Raw genomic sequence first — 21670 nt, forward strand, 5'->3', positions numbered from 1 at the left:
TGAGGTCAGGAGTTCAACACCAGCCTGGCCAACATGGTGAAACCCCATCTCTACCAAAAATACAAAAATTAGCTAGGTGTGGTGGCACACACCTGTAATCCCAGCTACTCAGGAGGCTGAGGCAGGAGAATCGCTTGAACCCAGGAGGTGGAGATTGCAGTGAGCCAAGATCGTGCCACTGCACTCCAGCCTGGGCGACAGAGCAAGACTCTATCTCAAAAAAATAAAAAAGAAATATGTTGAGAGTAAATTCTGGCTGGGCATGGTGGCTCATACCTGTAATCCCAGCACTTTGGGAGGCTAAGGCAGGCAGATTACCTGAGGTCGGGAGTTCGAGACCATCCTGGCTAACATGGTGAAACCCTGTATCTACTAAAAATACAAAAATTAGCCAGATGTGGTGGCAGGTGCCTATAATCCCAACTACTCGGGAGGCTGAGGCAAAAGAATCACTTGAGCCTGCGAGGCGGAGGTTGCAGTGAGCCAAGATCACGCCACTGCATTCCAGCCTGGGTGACAGAGTGAGACTCTGTCTCTAAAAAAAAAAAAAAAAGAGTAAAGGCAAAATAAAGATATTTTCATATACATAAAACCTAAAAAGATTATAACCCATAGGCCTCTCCACTGAATGGACTAAAGAATAAATTTCAGCAAGATGAAAAGAGAAAGAACAAGTGAGATACAAGTAATAAAGGCAGGAGGAAGACGTAAAGAAAGGGGCAGAAGAAGAGGTAAAATTGTTTAAAAAATATAATTAATCACTAAAAAAACTTTAGAAACTAAATTTATCTCCTCAAAAACTAGTGAAATAAGATTAAAAAAATAAAATAAATGTTTTAAGTAAAAAAAAGATGTTTCTTTGTCTTAAAAAAAGGAACAAAATTTATCAGTAAAAACAAAAGGTGGTGCATCATGATTTATATTGACACATTTATTCTTTTGTATTTATCAAATTAAAATTTTACAAATGAAGAGAATAAACACAGAACTAAGGTTCTAAACAACTACTACAAGAAAGAAGGGAGGGAGAATGTCAGAGCAAAACCAAAGCATGCCGCGGCACTTTTCTTTCATGGGAGGGGGAAAATAATAGTAACTTCAAGTTTATCAGGAAGAATATATGGTCAAAATGTACGATAAGAATTCAAGGGTAATTGCTAATGAATGAAAATATGACCTAAAGCTTCTAAATCAGTAGAGAAAACAGTAAATTGGGTGGGAGGGGAATATAAACTTTATTAATCTAGCAGAAAGCAAGAAAGAAGTAAAAGGAAATGAAAACAAGCTACACTAAAGAAAGAAAACAAAAATAAAAATGCATTCAAATAAATTTGTCAAATACAAAGTCATTAAACTTGCAAATGAAAATAGACTATCAGCCAGGCACGGTGGCTCACGTCTGTAATCTCAGCACTTTGGGAGGCCAACAAAGGTAGATTGCTTAAGCTCAGGAGTTTCAGATTAGCCTGGGCAACACGGCGAAACCCTGTCTCTAGAAAAATCCAAAAAATTAGCTGGGTGTGGTGGCACGTGCCTGTGTTCCCAGCTACTCGGGAGTCTGAGGTGGGAGGATCACCTGAGCACAGGAGGTTGAAGCTGCAGTGAGCCATGATCATACCACTGCACTCCAGCCTGGGCAACAGAGCAAGACCCTCTCTCAAAAAAAAATAAATAAAATAGACTATCAGATTGGATTGTTACAATCAACCTTAAAAATAAATAAAATAGACTATCAGATTAGATTGTTTCAAATCAACCTTCTGCTGCTCATAAGAGACACAACTAAAACAAAATGACCAGGAAATCTGAATTAAAAAGATATGGAAAAAGAGACATCAGGCATTTCAAATATTAAACAAAAGATTGCTGGTGTCAGGATAGTCATACCTGGCAAATAAAATTTAAGAGAAAATGATGTTGCTCAGAGAAGCAACATCAGAATGACATCTGATCTGGTGATCACATGGTGGATGACCCCTATTCTAGATCCTGGGCTCCTATCATGGGGAATGAGAACCATCCCTCGAGAGGGTAAGTTTCACAGAGACATGGGATAGTCTGTGGCCTTCACCACCACATTAGCACTACATATAGCCATGCTGCATGGCCAAGTGCCTGGCACATACCAGGAGTTCAGTAATACTGAATTAATCACATCTCTGAACTCTCACTGTTTGAGAGTAACCCCAGTATTTTGTGTACCCTCAGAGGTAAACATAGTGCAGAAATGCTGGTCAGGGACTGCCTGTGTCACTTCCTCAAGTTCTGGATGGCAGTTAACACCCCTCCATCTTCCCTCCTCCATCCCTGACAATATGTTCCCAGTCCTCTCTATTTTGTGGGTGCAATTATGTAGAATAAGATTAGAAAATTCCATTGAAAAATATCTAATGTTGAGGGTCTTGAAGCATAACACAGGAACTGTACTTCCAGGGTTCATGTTCATTCCTGGGATAAGTAAAAAGGGAAGACAGAGAGAGAGAGAGAGAAAAAAAAAATTCCAACAACACAGGCTTTTTGAGACAGATAATAATCACTTCATTTTCCATAGGGGGAAAAAAGTCAGAGTTGTCAGTTATTTTCAGAAATAATTTTATATTCAATTCCAAAACTGAGAAAATAATATAAATGCATTCAACTCTGCCAATAAGCTCTACCTTACTGACAGGCAGCTTTGAATGAATTTTGATGGGAGGTGGCTTTTCTGAAATTACTAAATTAAGATCAATAATTGTACCTTCATATTTCTTAGGCAAAGCCTTCTCTTTGCTATTAATACAACGTTTTTCACTCCAAAACAGCAGGGAAAGAAGCAAAGGAAATAAAAATGCATGCTCTCTAGTCAGTCCTAGTCCACCACCTTCCTTAGAATCATCTTGAGAGGTTAAGATAATCTCCAGCTGTGACTGAAGAAGAGTGACTCGCACAGGATTCCAGCCAGCAATGGTGGAGAGACCATAATCTGAATTTTTATCTGTCCTTTTCTTCAAGGAATATCTTAATGCTTAGCAAGGGAGACTTTTTAAGTGAAGCCAAGTAAATTGCTGTGCATATCTAAGAGTGTTAGAAACAAAGAAATAGATTCACAAAAGGAAAAGTTAGATCAATAACAGGCAAATAAAAATTCCTATCTGCACATCAGAATCCATTTCCTGCCATAATTTAGCTCTGATATTTACTTGTCTATAGCCCATAAAAGTGGGCCAGTTGTTTCTGCTTCCGGCCTTTATTCATTTCCCCTAACAGGGTTGGAGGTGCGACTGAATATACAATAGTTGTTTTGAAATGTAAGTTTGCCAGGGAAAAAAATAGAGGTAAGAATAGAGAGGAAGCTGAGAAACAGCTATTCCATTTGTTTGCATATTTAGGATTTTTTTCTAATTGACAGGGATGGAGGGAAGCAAACTTGGATTTTTTGTTCTTTTGTATTGTAAGATGTATATCTAAAAGGTTTTAAAACATATAGCTAAGGACTACTGAAAAGTGAATCCCATGAAGCCATCACCAAGAGCAGGAAATGGGACCCTGCAGGAGCCTTTCAAACCTTCAGGGAGCATAATTCCTCCCTCCCCTCTAAGAAGAAACACCATCCTGTTTTTTGTCACAATGACTTCCTTGCATTTCTTTATGGTTCTTCTAATTGCTTAAACACCCCCAAAGAAATGGAGTTTGTTTTTGCTTGTTTTTGAATGTCACACATAGTACTACAGTGAATGTCTTTGTTGTGTCTAGTTTTCTTTTTTATTTTTATTTTTTTGTATTTCAAAATAAAAACTGTATTTTTGCTTTTCTTTTTTCTTTTTCAATTTTTGTTTTTGTACAAGATTCAATAGTTATCACATATTAACTTATACACAACGGGATCAACCTCCTCCTCCATGTCGCTTCAAGTCCAAATGTTCAGGCTATAGTCCCCAACATTATTTTCTGAGAAATATATTACCACAGTTTGATTTAAATATAGATACAGTATATAATACTTGTCTCTGGGAAAAATCAAATTTTAATATGCAAATGTTTATATAATACAGAAATGGAAAAAACTACAGTAGGCACACAACCTAATTATGACTTGTGGATGATGATTTCTACATACTCTCCTACTGTAAATGAATAGTTAAAAGTCTTAAGAAGATTTTATTTATATGTGCACTTGTGTCCACCTTATCCCATATACTATACATGTCTATTGACAATCTGGGAATTTAAAGGTGCAGCCCTCAAGAGATTGTTAAATCACCAAAAAAAAAGGAAACAGGCTCTATTGGACAAGAAAAACACTCACAAAATTTCCAATTTTAAATTTCATATCAGTAGGAAAGTATTAAAAATAATTTTCTGTATATACATATGGGTATATGTATATATTGAATTACACATATGTCCCACATTATCAATACAATTCAAATGGAGACATTTTGGTGAGTTTTTTCATTAAATGATCACTATGTCAAAATTTAAAAATATTTTATTACATCATTAAAATAATTCACTTGCCATTTCAACAGCTTACACTGTTTTTTAAATTTTTTTAACTCTTCATAACTAAACTCCCTGATCCCTAGTGTTAAATCCCCTATTTAAATTAAAACTTGGTGCTCTTTGTTACTCAGAAACTGATAGATAAAATCACATTTACTTCAAAATTCTATCAATCAAATACATTTTGTTACCTGATTTATCAGAGAATGTTGTGTCTAGTTTTCACCCAATCCATTTGTTAAATTTAGCCACGCCATTGCACATAGATGTAGTTCATTTATTTTCATCGCAAAACTGTATTCTGTTGTATGAAAATAACATAATTTTCATCCTCTATTCAACTGGTGATGGACATTTGGATGGTTTTCCATTTGGGGTTATTTCAAACAAAGCTGAACATTCTTGAACATGTGTCCTGGTACACATGTGGAGGAGAGTCTTTTGGACAGATGTTCAAGAATGTTCAGCCTGGGAGTGGAATTGGTGAGTCACGGGGTGTTTGCTTCTTTAATTTTGCTAGTTACTGCCAAACTATTTTCCAAGGTGCATACATCAATTATCATCTCACCAGCTGTGTATGAGAGCTCCAATGTCTGAATGCCTGGGAAATTGGCAAACAGCTTTTTCTTGTTTAAATTAAAAGGCATGTAGTAGATCATGAAGAGAGGAAATACAGAGGATGCTTGTGCTTAGGCATACTGCAAAGCATATGGACTTTAAACCATACATGACTGAATCCTCCCTTAGTATTAACTATGCAGCTTTACCTTGTTTGCTTACCCTCGTCAGTTTTCCTTTATGTAAAACAGGAATACCTATTTCAAGGCTATTTGAAGGATTACATAAAATATATTTACAGTGCCCAACCTAGTAAGTGACACAAAGCAGGCATGCAATAATCGTTAGCTGTCAATATCATTCTCTTTCTTACTTATTTCCAAAACCAGAGCTGAAGAATCAAGGTTCCAGTTTCTCTGAACAAGGTATGAGGGCAGAGAACTACACCCTGCAGATTTTTTTTTTCTGGTTTTACATATCTGTTTATTTTGTGGTACCAGAGCTGAGAAATGCATCTTGAATAAATAAGATCAGAGAAACACAAACCTTCCTTTAGGTCCTTTAGAACTCTAAATCCAAATATCAAATCATGCGCAGCAAAAGGTATTGCAAATCTCTCACAAAGGATTTAAAAAAGAATGACCAGAAAGTAACTTAAAACAACTATTTTCAAGCAAAGCTAAAATGGGACAAGTAAATATTCCAACAGATTTAAATCTGACAAATTTCACTCACTCACTATGATCAAGAGGAATAAGTTCCCATCTCATTCAGAAGCAAGTGTGCTATCGAGAATGTTCTGAATATTCCCTTAGAGTCATTCATTCATATCAGGCTTACTATAACAATTGACAACTGACTCGTGATTATTTAAGACCAATTTAAAGAGTTACCTCCTTTCATTCTGAGTTATTGTGCCGTTTTCTAGCTTTTTAACTGTGGTCGCTAGTACTTTATTGGCATCATTGGCAAAGTCTAAGTCTCGAACTTCAGACAGTGGAACAGACACGATTGCGAACGCTTCTTTATCTTCTTTGGTTTGGCAGGTTCCAATCTGAAATGTTTTTCCATTAAGCTTAGTTTTATAAACAACTATACAATATTCTTTGAAGACTAACACATCTAGTACTGTTTAAGAAATATAAGACAAGAATAGATCATCCGAACACAGTAACTCCCACATGCATCATCCACTATGAAAGGCTGCAGGGACACAGAGATTTCCTGTGCCCACTTCCTGCCCTGTTCCCAAAGCCCCACTGGAAACTTCTCCCTTTCACACTTGCCCTCTGCTTCAGTTTCGACAGAGTAGAGAAAAGGCACTCCTGGATTCTACTCCTCCATCCATATGCTGCTACCATTCTTTCTGGTGTCTCTGTAGCATCCTTCTGAATCACAGCTTTGCTGCCTCCAACCCATTTAGATCAGCTACCTAAGCAACTGGCAGACATGCATGCTTGATGAAATTAATTGCAATGATCTGTAATATTGGTGAAGATGGAGTATAAGGAACATGTGTCACACAGCATTCCTATCCTAATCCTATTCTCATGGCATTTGGCTGAAAATTAAACCATCTTCAGTGACATTTACCTTTAACATAACAGGCCTCTCTTCATCTGTGTCTATGGGGATACTAGTACTGGTTACCCATGTGTTGGTGCATAAATGCCTTAACCGAACATATGAGTTCCTAAAAGCAAAACAATATAAAAAAACAAATTATAAAAAATTAGCACACTTACATATTAACATCTTTAACAGTTTCATATATTATATGAACATAAATACATATTAACTAGTAATTGACTCAAGATCCCTCTGCTTTAAGGGGAAATTCGGAATTATAGACTATTTCAAAGCATGCAGCATTTTTACCTAGGTAGTAGTTCTCAAAGTGTGGTCCCTAGACCAGTGGCATCAGCATTGCCTGGGAGCTTGTTAGAAATACAAATTCTGAAACTTCATCCCCATCGACTGAATCAGAAACTTTGGGGGTGTGGCCCAACAATGAGTGGTTTAATAGGTTCTCCAGGCAGTTCTGATGCATGCTAAACTAAGAACATTGATCAAATAGCCAACTCAGCTAACACTGCTGGCAGACAGTAGTGTAGTTTGTGTAGTTTAATTGTCTGCATGTGAAAGTATTAATGTACAATCAATCCTCATTATTTGTGGCTTCTGTACTTGTGAATTCTCCTGTTCGGTAAAATTTATTTGTAGCCCCCAAATCAATATTCAAGGAGCTTTTGTGGTCATTCCAGAACATACATAGAGTGGCAAAAATTTAAGTGGCCCAGTAGGCACATTTCCAAGCTGAAGTGGAACAAGGTGATGCTCTGCCTTCTTGTCTCAGCTCTCATGCTATAAACAAGTGTCCTTTTTGTGGCCCATTTAGTGCCATGTTTTTCATATTTCACAATAAGATGGCCCCCACATGAGGTGTAGAAGTGCCATCTAGTGTTCCTAAAGCACAAGAAGGTTGTGATGTGCCTTACAAAGAAAATACTTGTGCTAGATGAGCTTCGTTCATGCATGAATTATAGTGCTGTTGACCACAAGTTCAATGTTAATGAATCAGCAACGTACATTAAATAAGGTGTATTTAAACAGAAGCACACATAGAACAAGGCTATGTATTCGTCAACAAAAATGTTGCGACCAGAAGCTCACAGGAACCTAACTCTATATTTCCCCTAGGAACAATGGTTCAGTATTTGCTAATTCCATGTACCATGAATTTTAAAGATTGACTAGATATGAACTGTGAGAGAATGCCTAAGAAAGGACACCTAGAACTTCATCCTACTCAAGTATTACCGTTTTTAGTAAATCTTTTATAATCTTTTGTTATTTCTTTAACAAATATGTGTATAGTGTCTATTAAAAGAAAAGCACAGTAAGTACTCTGCCTTCAAGTTGCTTACAGATCAGTGTAAAGATAAGGCATAAATACGTCTTAAAACATAAGGTAAAAAGCATTAGGGCCAAGAAAAGAAAACCAAATAAAATGCCAAGGGACTCAGGCAAAGAGATTCATTCAACAACCTGGTTCTGCTCCTTTATAAAAGTAGATAAAATACAAACTGAGCTTCAAATATCTAAAATAGCAGTTCTCCAATCTTTGTTCAAATAACTAGAAATTCTGAAATGCCTCTGTTTTATCACTTGGCATCTTCTGCATTGAATTACACAGGAGATGTAATTTGTACTCAGTTGTCATCAGGTCCCCTGGTGATTTAGTATAGAATAAAGTTTAAGCAGCATTGGACCATAAAGTCTGAGAAACACTGGACTCCACAGTGGAATCACTTGGGTAATAAATGCTTCAAAAAGAGTAAAGCCTGCACCCCACCTGTAAGACTCTGATTTCATTGGTCTCAGTGTGGCCAGGGCATGGTGAGGTGTCAACAATACCCAGGTGGTTCTAATTTACAGTCAGCTTGAGAACCACTGTTCCAACTCAGTCTCTAGTTCCTGATCTGTAAGAGTTACTGCCAGTATGCAATAAGACAATATTTATTAAGAACTTGACACAGGACTTAATACATAAAAAGTGCTTCAAGAGTTATATTATAATAGTAGTTATTAAGCATTAATTAATGTTGGCTTGAATACAATTAATGACAGATGAATCGATGTTAATACAAAATTCTGCACTACACTGAATAGGGCTTCCACAGTTCTGAAAAGTAATAGATTAATTATTCTATATAAAGTGAGGCTCAGTGGCCCTCATCGTGGTTCTATACACTTTCTAGTAAGACCCTTTTATCATTTCCTTAAGCAAATTCTCTTGGTTAGAGTTCAAGAAGGACTCCCTTTTTGCTGACTTAAATCTAAAATAAGTAAAGTCATAGTAAGGATTGATTAAGGTCCCAGTCCTGGGAGGAGAAAGCCAGAGACCTGGGTCAGGTAAAACCAGAGAGGATCTCTTTACAGGCTTATATTGATGGAAAAAAAAAAGAGTGAGAGATGGACTCATATAAGGTATGAAATTCAGCAACATTTCTCATGAATGAGAATAGCCATAAAACACCCTGGGAAGCTCTACCAGCAATGTTTCTCAATAGTGTTATTATAGTAACTTTTTACCCTCCCTGGAGGAAACCCACACAATGCCTGCCTTTCTGCATAGGTGCCTTCAGCTTCACCACTGCCATCTGCCAAGGCCAAGCACAATACTGCTCCATCAAGGCCAATTTAGAGCCATCCCACTAACCCTAATAATATGGGCAAGACTCCTCGATGCATCTAGAGAGTGCATCATAGCCTTATGGTTGAAAGATGGACAGTTGTAGACAAAAAAGCTTAACTAAACTAGTCAAATTCAGCCTGGGCGTGGTGGCTCATGCCTGTAATCTCGGCATTTTGAGAAGCTGAGGTGGGTGGATCCCTCGAGCCCAGGAGTTCAAGACCAGCCTGCGCAATATGGCAAAATACCATCTCTACAAAAATATACAAAAATTAGCAGAGCATGGTGGTGCATGCCTATAGTCCCAGCTACTCAGGAGACTGAGGTGGGAGGATCACCTGAGTACCAGAGGTAGAGGATGCAGTGAGCCATGATTGTGCCTCTGCACTACACCCTGGACAACAGAGTGAGATCCTGTCTCAAAAAAGATAAATAAATGAAAAGTAAAATAAAATGGTCAAATTCAAGCAAAAGAATGTAAGATATTGTCTTACCTTAAGTTCTGGCAATCTCATTTCCAATCCCACAACCCCTCCCTCATTTATGTCTAATTACTCTGCCTTCTCACTGGTCCTTAAAAACACCCAGTAAATTTCAACATTTTTCATTTCGTGTTCCTGCTGCTTGAAATGTTCCTCCTAGGAAGAGAGGACTTGATTCCTTAATTCATTCAGATCGTTATTCAAATGTACTAACTCAGAGAGGCCACAGTTGAACACTCCTACCTAATAGAACTCTCCATACCCTCCATTTTTTCTTCAAAGCACTTTTATTACCTGACCTTATATTAATATTTTATGTCTATTGTTTTGTTTACTGCCTGTCTCCCCCATTTGAATGTGAGAATATAACCAGTTTGTTCACTGTTGTCTTCCCAATGCCAAGGGCAATGCCTGGAATGTAATGGATGTTCAATAGATATTTCTTGACTGATTGACTACATAAATGAACAAATGGATGAATGAAATGGGAAATCTGACATAATAAAAATAAATGATAAATATATAAATAGAAATACTTTTATATTATTTTTCATTTTAGTAACCAAAGGCCATACAAGTAATAAGAATAAATGATTCTTATAAATTTTTCAGAGTTTCTTTGGTCCTGCACATTTTAATTATTAATAAGAATAAAACAAACTATGTTAACCTCCTCACAGAAGAGATACAATGTTTTACACATTTTTCTTCATTTATGTTTGCTCCCTTGATATCATAAAAATATATTAATATTATTATTTTCATTCCTCACCTACTGGTATAATTATTCAAAGAAACATCTTTTAACCATAATTTTTTTTACCTTGGAACCAGGCAGTCAGCTCTCTGAAGAGTTGTGGCATCTAGTTCAAAAAGGGATGCAATGTCATTGCCATGCGGGACTGAAACCAAAGTATACATGATCTTCTCCCCTGCCTGGCGTTTTTTCTTTGAAGTTGGAGGGACTCCATCTCTCTGTTGAGGAAGTACAAGTTTATTTACTTTTATCACGTTTCTTGCTAAACTCTCCAATTAATCAGGTGATAAGGTTTAAATGTGCATGTTATTTCTTCCTTGGATTGAAGAGGTGTCTATTTCACATCATCCAGAAACACTAGCTCTAGCCCGACAGCCATTGAGGTAATTACTGTCAACAATGATGAGTCCCACACTCCTAGGGCGGGGTGGCTTGATCTGCCCACATCATTAAGGCACTAACGGTACCAATAGTTATGGACCCTTCCCTCGTTCTCTTAAACCTATTTACAAAGTAGTAATTTTGACCATTCCACAGTTAAAACAAACACAGAGAAGAGCCCGTGTGTTGAATCATCTAGATTTCTGAAGTTAAAGTAAGCATGGCAGTGTGCAGGAGTTCATACCTAACTCCCCAGGCATAATAATACTTGGAGAGGAGCAGAATCAACAGCAACATTCCCTTTCACCACCTGCTTGCTCCCCTAGATTCAAGAACATACTATAATTGCATAAGAAATAAAATAAAAGGAGATCTCCACACACAGAAGCCTTCATAGTGATGTGGAACTTGGTCAATGCTTCCAGCACACCCTACCATTTTAAGCAGAAACCAACAAGAGATTAATGAGTATGTGTTTTTACTAGAACTTCCCCAAGTCCCAGTACCCCATGGAAGAACTGGTTGCACGAGAAACCAAAACAAGGGATGCAATATAAGCTTGGTAGTTAGTAGATAAAAATAGTGACTTACACATATTTATTAAAACAGGTGAAATCTGAAAATGAGAGTGGAAGAAAGACAGACAGAAACACTGTCACTGCACTATCACAGGAAGGTGAATGAAACTGAGGGAAGGAAGGGATGCTCAAAAGGCAAATGCAAGCAGCCTATATCCATGGACAAGCGTTTCTTCAATGGCTGCTGCGACAACAAGATATTACCCCTGATCATCCCAGAACATTCACTTGGAGTCCCTACCCCCTCCCAGAGATTGTTAATATCATTTTACTTGGATCAAAAAGCCTTGCTTTTTGGCCTCTTCTGTAAATGGTGCACAAATGGTAGCACCGTTGAAATGGGAATGGGCAGAGGGAACTGCCAGCGTTCCTAAACAGGAGCAGGATTGTTATCTGCTAAAGCCCTCACAGCCTCACAGCACCAGGTAGCTCCCGTCATCTTTGACTTCTGTGTCTTCCACAGAGACCAAAATTCAGAGTTAAATGAAAGCAGGGGTTCAGCAAACTCTCCACAAAGGGTGACCCTCATAACAGTAGTTTCTTATTTGTAAATATAAACTCTGTTTATTGACTAGAAAAGGGCATACTTAGCATACTATACATCATAAGGGAGTATGGGCATGTAGGAAGGAAGAAAATGCAGAAACAGTTAGCAAATAATACTTCTGAATTTTTTTTTTAAGACAAGGTCTCACTCTGTTGCCCAGGCTGGAGTGCAGTGGCACAATCAAGGCTCACTATAGTCTCGCTCTCCAGGGCTCAAGAGATCCTCCCACCTCGGCCTCCTGGGTAGCTGCGACTACAGACGTGTGCCACCACACACCACATCAACAATTTTTATAATTGTTGTACTAACTGGACCTCAGTATGTTGCTGAGGCTGGTCTCGAACTCTTGAGCTCAAGCGATCCTCCCTGCTTGGCCTCCCAAAGGCTGGGATTACAGGCGTGGGCCACTGCACCTGGCTGATATTTCTGAATTTATACAAAGCTTCTCACAATACCAAAGCCATTCCTTTGGTTGTTCTCATTAATCCCACAACAAAAAATTTAAGAGAGAGAAAGGTAAGCATTATAATTTCCATTGAGCAAAGAGATGAGTGCAGTTACCTAAAAAAGATGAAAGATGAGGGAAGGGGAAAAAGAAAGGGGAGGAAGAAGGAGAAGCAGAGGAAGAAGAAGGAGAAGGGAAAAGAGGGAAAGAAGGAAGGAGAGGAGGTGGGGAGAAAGAATAGAGAACAAGAGGGGAGCAGTAGATGGTGGTAATGAATGCTCAGCCCCAAATTCAACTGACCAGGGCCTGAATCCAAGCCAACCCAAGCCAGAGGCCAGGCCTGAGGCCCTTAAATACTGTATGAGTCACTCCTCTAAGAGTAAATAAAAACTCATGGCTAAGACCCTCCCCCAAGTCTTCTGAAAAAGTTATCTTGGGTCTTGGGACCCACTTTCACGGTGATTTGCATGAAGGATGAGGAAGCCTAAGAATTGAAGACAAAATATATGAGGGGGAAAACCACCCTCTCATCCCTCAAGAAGAAAGTCTAAATGTCTTTAAATAACTCAATAATATACATGAATAACTGTATACTGGAAATTTGCTAAGAGAGTCAATTTTAGGTATTTTTATCACAAAAATAAAAGTTAACTATGTGACATGATGGATACGTTAATTTGCTTGACTAGAGTAACATTTTACTATACATATGTGTATCAAAACATCATGTTATATACCTTAACTATATACAGTTTTAAAATGAAAAAGAGGCCAGGCACAGTGGCTCATGCCTATAATCCTAGCACTTTGGGAGGCCAAGGCAGGTGGATCACCTGAGCTCAGGAGTTCAAGACCAGCCTGGGCAACATGGCGAAACCCCATCTCTACAAAAAATACAATAATTAGTTAGGCATGATGGCACACGCCTATGGTCTCAGCTACTCAGGAGCCTGTAGTGGGAGGATCACCTGAGCCCGGAGGTCGAGGCCACAGTGAGCCAAGATTGCATCACTGCACTCCAGCCTGGGTGACAGAGCAAAACTGTCTCAAAAAGATAAAAAGGAGAAAAGAAAAAAGAAAAAAAGAGAGGGAGGGAGGCAGGTGGGAAAGAAAGGGAAGGAAGGGAGGGAGGGAAGGATGGAGGGAAGGGCAAACTCAAAAGTGTGTTGGTTCATTGATCTACATCATGTACCTCAACATGAAAATCTAGGTGTTATAATAAGATATGGATGGCAAAGACGCAGTTTTCCCTGAAGGCTCTGAAATCTGATGGTGACACTAAAGCCACACTGCTGTCCAACTGCAAACAGCTGACGCAAGAAGGCCTGAACAAGGTCTATGCAATCCTCTTTTACAGGGCCCAGTAGAAGACCATGTGCAAGTAGGAATTCCTTGTCAAGGTTAAAAACTGTAGTGACATCTGATACTGAAGAGGACAATGATTATGAAGAACACGGCATACAAAAGGAAGGAAGGAGGAGGTTTAGAAGAGGATGTGATAATTCTAAAAGAAAACAAAGGATGTTTGTTTTTAATGATATCCCCAGTAACATGAAAACTTGGGGAGAAATAGACCAGGAGAATTATAGTCACAAAGAAATATTGGAAAAGAGCTTTTTTTCCTGGATTTTGGAACCCTATTGTAGCCAAAAGAAAGAGCCACAAGCACACTGAGTGTTGTAAATACATGTGAGAGAAGACTGCCTCGGAATATAAGGACACAGAAGTTATGAACAAGATCAGTCAGTTATACAAATAACCTAAAGGATTTTTGTGACTATTACGGCAATGGGATTTGGGCACAAGTGGCTTAAGTGGAATATTGGGAAGGCACAAATAAAACATAATATTAACTAAGGAAGATAAAATGTTATCAGTCATATTGAACCATGTTTGAATAAAGGCTTATTAACAGAAGATCAGCATGTAACCCAAATAAATGGAGAATAAAACAGTTTCTCTCACCATTGCCTAGTGTAGAAGCAATAAATGGCAAGCGCCAGTCTTCTTGGAAAAATAGCATATCCTTAAAAGGAGTATGTGTCATCTAATTTCCTGAGTCTCCTGCACCCCAATATTCTAATTTAGCCTTTGATACATATTCTCCTTCAAGGAAAATGCACCAATTGAGCCAAATATTTAGGTCTATTTGGCAATTGAAAGTTGGCATTGTGGTTTATTCATCAGTCTTTTGTGAGTTTATTTAGAAGGAGTTAATCCTCCTGCATTTATCCCTCTTTTAAAATGCTAATGAAATAAATTTTCTAGACTTATAAGAAAAGATCAGACCCAGGTTCCTACAGAATGCCCTCCTACCCTACACTCCTTGGTAATGTCTCCCTGTAAAGGCCCAACAAGAGTAGTCAGGGACCTCTCTATTTTGACATTCTCACACTGCAACAATTAGACTGTCTTCCAAACACAGAAAAAACTCACCAGTTAGGGTTAATTAAAAGAGGTCACTCTGAATTACTCATACTGTTTAAGACCTGTGGTTTTATTTTAATTACATAGGATAAGTAGAATACGCTATTCCACCCTTAAATAGTTCACTTAGGTTCTTGGAAAATAGCTTTAATGAAAAGAAAATCTCCATTTATAAAGAGCATATAACAATTGCTTATGTGTGAATAAGAGCTTCAAACATGTTTAGAAGTTTTTTAAAACAGTGCTGTAGCCTTAAGCATTCTGCTTTCACTCTTTTGCACTCTGTTAATTTGCTTAATAAACTCTCTTGGTAGACAGTCTGACAGTAAACTTCAAGCCCACTCCTTGGAATGTGCCCCTCAAGCCAGCCTCTAATGACATCTGAATAACGTGTGATAAGTATACAATTTTTAATGTATGATTCAAGCCTCAATATAGAAAAAAGTCAATATATCTTTATAACATGAAGACAATTCAGTTTAAAATTGTGTCCTTGTGGCTTTTGTTTATAAACTCACATTGATTTTTTTAAGAAAAAAGACACAGAAACACTAGTTCCCCACACCGAATCACAGAAGCGCAACGCCCTCTCTCTTCAGCATGAAAATACATTAAGGTACGACAGAACTTAAACAGGTATTAAATTTAACCTCAGCTAGCTCTCCAAAACATTCTCAATTTAGGGTAACACAGGGCCTTGGAATGTTAACCTGGTCTACTGAGCTCTTAATCAAACGAGCATTTTTCACTCAGAAAGAAAGCCACATAGCCTCTCAAGTTGTACATGGAGAAAATGCCCCTACGAAAAGCCAGCTGAGTCAACTCAACTAATGGCTCTCCTTGCTTCTCCTGCCGTCCTGGGGCCTGCAGGCATCCGCACAGCAGTCAGCCCCTAGAACACCTTCTCTGCTGACTCATTTGTGAGTCATCAAATTTTTAGCACAGACATCACGTTGCAATTCTGTTGTTGGGAGCCAGAGACATTCTGTAAGAAACGTCTGCATTTGCAGAGTTGGTTCAGACCTGTGAGCGGCCACAGCAGCATAACGATGTGCATGCACGTGTGTTTTTGTTCACATCCTCCAGGGCTCTCACTACTGACTTTATGTAACCGCACACAACACTGCCATTTACAGCTGCAAATACTTCTCTTGCCGAGGTTCCTTAACAAACTGCTACTCTCCAATTAATTTCTGATAGAACCTTTGTTTCTGTGTTTTCCTTATCACCTTGTCACTGATGAATATATAGTAAAACAAGGAAATTCGGGGGTCAGAATCTGGTACTCAGGAAAATTTGAGGGTCTGTCAGAAGCTGGTACACCGCCCCCCCGCCAAATTCTATGGACACAGGATTTTCAGTTATATTTCCACAAAGTTCCCTGGTTCCTGGAACATTTCTGTTGATGTATATAAATGCACATAGACCGGTGGTTCTCAACAGGGAATGATATTTGCCCCCAGGGGGCATTGGCAATTTCTGGGCACATTGTTAGTTGCCACAATCAGGGACCTGCTATTGGCACCTGGTGAGTAGAGGGTGTGGATGCTGCTAAACATCCTACAGGCAAAAGCCATTGCACCACAACAGAGAATTATCTGGCCCAATATGGCCAGAAATTCCAATATCTAAAACAGACATTCCCAAGAAAAATCAGATCATATTCCACATAAATATGGTAATGTTAAGATGGGTAGCGTTAATTCCAAAAAATTCCCCTTCAAAGAGCCATCTGAAAAGATGCAGCTTTTCAAGGAGAAGAAACTAATGACTGTCAGGTTCCCAGCTGGGCTTGACACGGTTCCAATGTTTACAGGGTCCCTGTGGATGCTGTACATTTGTAATATTGGAAATAATAGACTCCTTTGTAGAATAAATACAGCAATTTGTGTCTTAATGGGAGCTCTGACACACACCGCCTCATTTCAGTGGCACCATGCATGAACCTTTGAAACTTCAAATACGGAAGGCAACATTTTGATAAATGTTTCTAAATTACAAAAAAAAAATATTAACTGGGCATTACATAGACAACGTCAGGAAAACTAGGAAAGAAAAAATTAGCATGGTCATAATAAAGTCAGTGTTACTGGAACCCAGATCTGAGGTGAAACAGTATTCTGTTTTGGGAAACTGATTGCATATTTCACAGGCTGGAGATAAACTCTAACAGCTCCTTTGTTTTCTTCTTTAGACAGAAAAATAATTATTGCTCTGTGGCAAATGTTCTATAAAATAGGAAGCCATATTGTTAGCTTTATGGCTCCACATTCTCAATTTTCTTTGCTCTCAAGCTAGGTATTCTGGAGAGGAAAAAAAATTAAATCAACTGTCTGCAGTTGGATGTCTCCCTGAGATGACAGATGAGACTCAGTCATAAACATCTACAGCAAAAGCAGACCCATCTGTGTTGAATGCAATTAAAGTATTGCCAGTAACAACGGCTTAAACAGAAGAGCACTCTTTCTCACCTTTAGAGGTCAATGAAGAAGTTGTTTTTTCGAATAAAAAGAAGAAAAGCTATCAAGTCTAACTAAAAGCTTGATTAACAGAAAGAGTGAACTTCACCATGGATATATGATCATTTATACAGTTTGTGCTGTTCCATAGAACCTCCATACCCTATGTAGTCAACCCTCGGTATCTGCAGAGGATTGGTTCCAGGACCCCCTGCAAATACAAAAATCTGCTCAAGTTTCTCATATAAAATTGCATAGTATTTGCATATAACCTATACATATCCTCCTATATACTTTAAATTACCTGTAGATTAGTCATAATATCTAATACAATCTAAGTGCCAGGTAAATACTTGTTATACTGTATTGTTTTTTAATTTGTATTATTATATTTTGGTGTTTTTGATCTGTGGATGTTTGAATACACAGATGCAAAACCACTGGATAGGGAGGAAGACTGTATTCTCCCACTCTGCTCAGGCCAAAATCATCAGCTGTATCACCGAATATTATGTAGTAGAAAGGAGATGCGCACAGAGATTTAATTAATTTGTACAATTTGAAATTTTGATATGATGCTCTTTTACTAGAAACAACTTACAAATTCAAAGAGTTTCCATCTGTCTGATCTTATTTTATCCTCATGGCATGCAGGTGAAGTACATAAGACGAACATCTTCATCCCATTACACAGGTGGGGAAACTGAGTCTCAAGAAAGCTATCTCACTTGTCCAAGGCCACACAAGTTAATGGTGGTGCTAGAACAAGACTCTCTTGGCCCTACACGATGCTGAAGAAGTCACACAGAATATTACAAAAATAAACCTTGTGAAAGAGAAAAGCAGCAGCCCCTGACATCCAATAGGTGGTCTGGTCCTCTTAGCAAGGCCATACTGTTCTCTGTTGAACAATTTCACAGAATGTCATCAGACAAGGCCACTCTGTGACTGTGATGGATCAAGACAAAACAAGACCATTCCCTAATCATGTCTAAACACAGACAAAATATGAATATTGTCCAAGCCACAAAAATGACTAAATATCCCTCTCCCCCAACTAATACGAGTGACTGTTGCTTCCTTAGAAGCCTGTCCTCCCTATAGGTAAAATTTATTAAGATACCAATTATAGAATTCCTCTTCCTGACAACATTCTCTCCACAGCAAAGCCTCACTTCCTTAAATCCTCCCCAAATCACCTTACACAAACACAAATCCTCTAGTAAGTTCTTTCTAACATGCTCTGAGATGCCCCACAGCTCCTCATGGCATGTTCCTTTCTCACTGCATAAGTAATAAACCCAACTTGTTCAACTACCCATGTGTTCCTGATGGTCTTTGGGTGGAGGCCATTGACAAGCTTATAGTAAGAACCAAAGAAGCCATGATTCACACTTTGCTTTTTAAACCTGGTTACTGACAGCATTTTCCTAAATCATACAAAAGTAAGAACCCAACAATCCTGGGGCAGCCATGTGAAAACCAACAAGAGAAGAGCCCACCCAGTGCGCTAAAATTGAATTATAAATAGGAGATCCAATTAATCGAATAAACCTACCTCTACGTTTAGAGACATTTTGATATGTTAAAGGTTTCATTGGGCCAATTACCTGATACTTCACAGCTTTATTTCTATCGTAAGCCTGGCAGTCAGACAGAGAAGGGGGTCAAACAGGGTTGAATGAGGTACATAAATTCTGATTGGTTTCACCTCCCCCATGTCAATATCCTCACAAATCCTAAAGCTATGTATCAATGCAAAGATACTGGCCATGTTAATTAAACATTCCAATTCTTTCTGTCAAAGGGTAAAATTTTGAATGATGGAGTAATAATACCTACCAATTTCAAAAGGAATTGCTAAACTCCTAAGAAAATTGAATTACAGACCGTATCTAGATTACGCCAAAATATCTAGTTAAATTGCTCTTTAAAACTTTTTAAAAATCTAGCCCAACATCCAGAGATTTTGTCTGCATCACATCAAATTGTCCTGAATTTCTGAATTTTTGATTGAATAAAGAAGCCATGTTGTCACCATGAAGCTTTCTTCTTTACAGAAGAAAAAAGGGTAAATAAAACTAAACCTAGACCCACCATATCTCTCAGATGCCAGCTGCCTTTAGCACTCCACCAACAATGGCCTCCAAGTTGCAGAACTCTTCCCAAGCACCCATAATTGAACATCTTCTCATAATCTAAGCCATATCATCTTTTACCTGTGAACCATAGGCTCTACTCAGAAAATCTCTCTGAGCCCCTAGTCTTCAAATTTGCTATTAAAATTCCAATCTATCCATATAAAATAATAACAATATGCTGAGATTTGTTGGAGAAAAGCCAGTTCTACTCACCACATTTTTTCCTTCATTTTGGGCATCTCGATAATCAGGATTAAGCTAGAAAAACAAAGGAAAATTTAGTTTTTCATTGCTATGAAAAGCACACTAACAAGACCATTGATCTTCAATTCAATTAATATTCTATCCTCAACTAAGTTTAATATAAAAAGATGCTAAGAAAGAAACTATTAGTAAATATGACAATTTAAAATACTACCATCAAACCCTAGTTGCAGGAGACAAAAGCTGACATGCCAAGTTCATTGCCTTGGTTTATATCAGAACTGTTGACATCTTTGAAGAAGTAAGAATTGACAATATCACCTCCTCTGGAAAAATATTCAATAGAGTTCACCATTTTACCCTCTGCAAAAACTGCCATTTACCAATAACTCAGACACAAATTAAACAAAAAAAACCAGTGGGACATTGATGATTTGAGATCATGTTTTACATGTTATGTACACAAGGAAAAGAAAAACAAAACAGAGCAAAAAAGGAGCTACATATAAGATATGTGAGCAAATACATGAGGACTACTGAAACAAACAAACACATGTCTTCGGGCTTGGAGAGTGGCATTTTGGGGCCAATCTGATGACAAAGATGAGTTCTGGATGTGCTGAGTACAGACCCTTGCATCATCTGGCTGGTTGAAATCCATGACTCCTCACTCCCACTTGTCCTTACAGTCTCAAAGCGATTCTTAGTTGTTCTGAAATAGTTGATCACTCGTAAAGCAATAGATGTATGAGGTGTGTTTCTTGAAACATCAAGTTGTCCAATTGAATTTAATCATTTTAATGTGAATCAACTGGTGTATACAATGCACAATCCCAGTAAAGTTATCATTTAAAATGTAAGGTTAGGAGTCTTTCTCATAATACCACTTATCTAGCAGCTCTGAGAATTGCCCCTTCCAACTCATCACTAAATACCAATGAGGGTTCTGAAAAAAACAAAAGCAAAGCAAAATGAAAGCAAAAAAAATCCCAATCTCATTAAGAACTAAGGCTGAAAAAACAACATAAATTCCAAATCTTCAATGAACTGATGCTAATTATAAAGTAGATAGTTCTTGGGGACAGGCAGGTAATGACCCAGTTTTTATCATGTGGCAAACTTCAACGTCTCTTTAAGCTAGTGGCCACGTAAACAAAGATAAGAAGATAGTGAGTCAGTTTGAACGCTGACGTAGAAACCCAGAGAATTTACCGACCAAAAACCTATAGAGAAGAGTTTCTCTATCACTGGCAAGCTGCCATGAAATTACGCAGAAAACTGCTTCCCTAGTCTGCTACCTGTCTCTGACTTTACATGACCAAACAGATGCTCAGAAAACAAGTGGGCAGAAAGTGGAGGGAAAAGATGATGGCCAAGGCCTTTCTGAGAAGCATGGTGTGAAGAGAGAAAAGGAATGCCGTATGCTGGAATGACATTGCATGATGATGCAGAAATAGCAAAGGGGTAGGACACAGAAGCAACTGCCTTAGTTAAACCCAGGTGTGTAGAGTCCATAGAATCCATAGAGTCGATGTCTGCTCAAATCTGGGAACTGCGCTGCAAATGCACCCATCAGCCAGCCCTGCAGCTGAACATTTAGAAAGAGGACTGAATTTTCATACTAGAGAATTTAAAAATTGAACAAAAGGACAATCCACTCAACCCTCTGGTTCTGCACAGAGCTCACTCATCTGAGGATAACAAGGAAAGAACAAAGGAAGGAAAAAAGAAAATAGGACTGATGGAACACTGAGTTAGAACAAGGGAGATTCCTTCTCAGAGTCTTTCTCAACATTTCCTATGATATGATGCAAAATGAATTTTCAGGAAATGGTTTGGCATTCTCAGGAAAGTACAAGTAAACATGACCTCTACATAAAGGCAACGAAATAACATAAAGAGCTAAAATGATAGTATAGAAACAATATGTGGCCGGGTGTGGTGGCTCATGCATTTAATCCCAGCACTTTGGGAGGCCAAGGTGGGTGGATCACCTAAGATCAGGAGTTCGAGA

The 21670-nt window shown here is 38.3% G+C and overlaps 1 protein-coding gene across 8 annotated transcripts in view; it reads right to left on the minus strand.

The window, feature by feature from the left end:
* ITPR2 (inositol 1,4,5-trisphosphate receptor type 2) overlaps positions 1-21670 on the minus strand; it is a 497843-nt gene that overhangs the window by 340589 nt on the left and 135584 nt on the right. For 7 of the 8 annotated variants that reach the window (XR_001748686.3, XR_001748687.2, NM_001414175.1 and 4 more), the window contains 4 exons: positions 19666-19710; positions 10541-10692; positions 6634-6733; positions 5934-6094 (listed from right to left, as the gene is read on the minus strand). Coding sequence is in view for 6 of the 8 variants with exons in the window: in NM_001414175.1 (NP_001401104.1) it covers positions 5934-6094; positions 6634-6733; positions 10541-10692; positions 19666-19710 (458 nt within the window). In the remaining 2 variants the exon portion in view is untranslated. The remainder of the gene's footprint in view (positions 1-5933; positions 6095-6633; positions 6734-10540; positions 10693-19665; positions 19711-21670) is intronic. The other variant, NM_001414174.1, reaches the window with a different exon arrangement.

The sequence above is a fragment of the Homo sapiens genome, chromosome 12 (genome assembly GCF_000001405.40).
Source record: "Homo sapiens chromosome 12, GRCh38.p14 Primary Assembly".
NCBI lineage: Eukaryota > Metazoa > Chordata > Mammalia > Primates > Hominidae > Homo > Homo sapiens.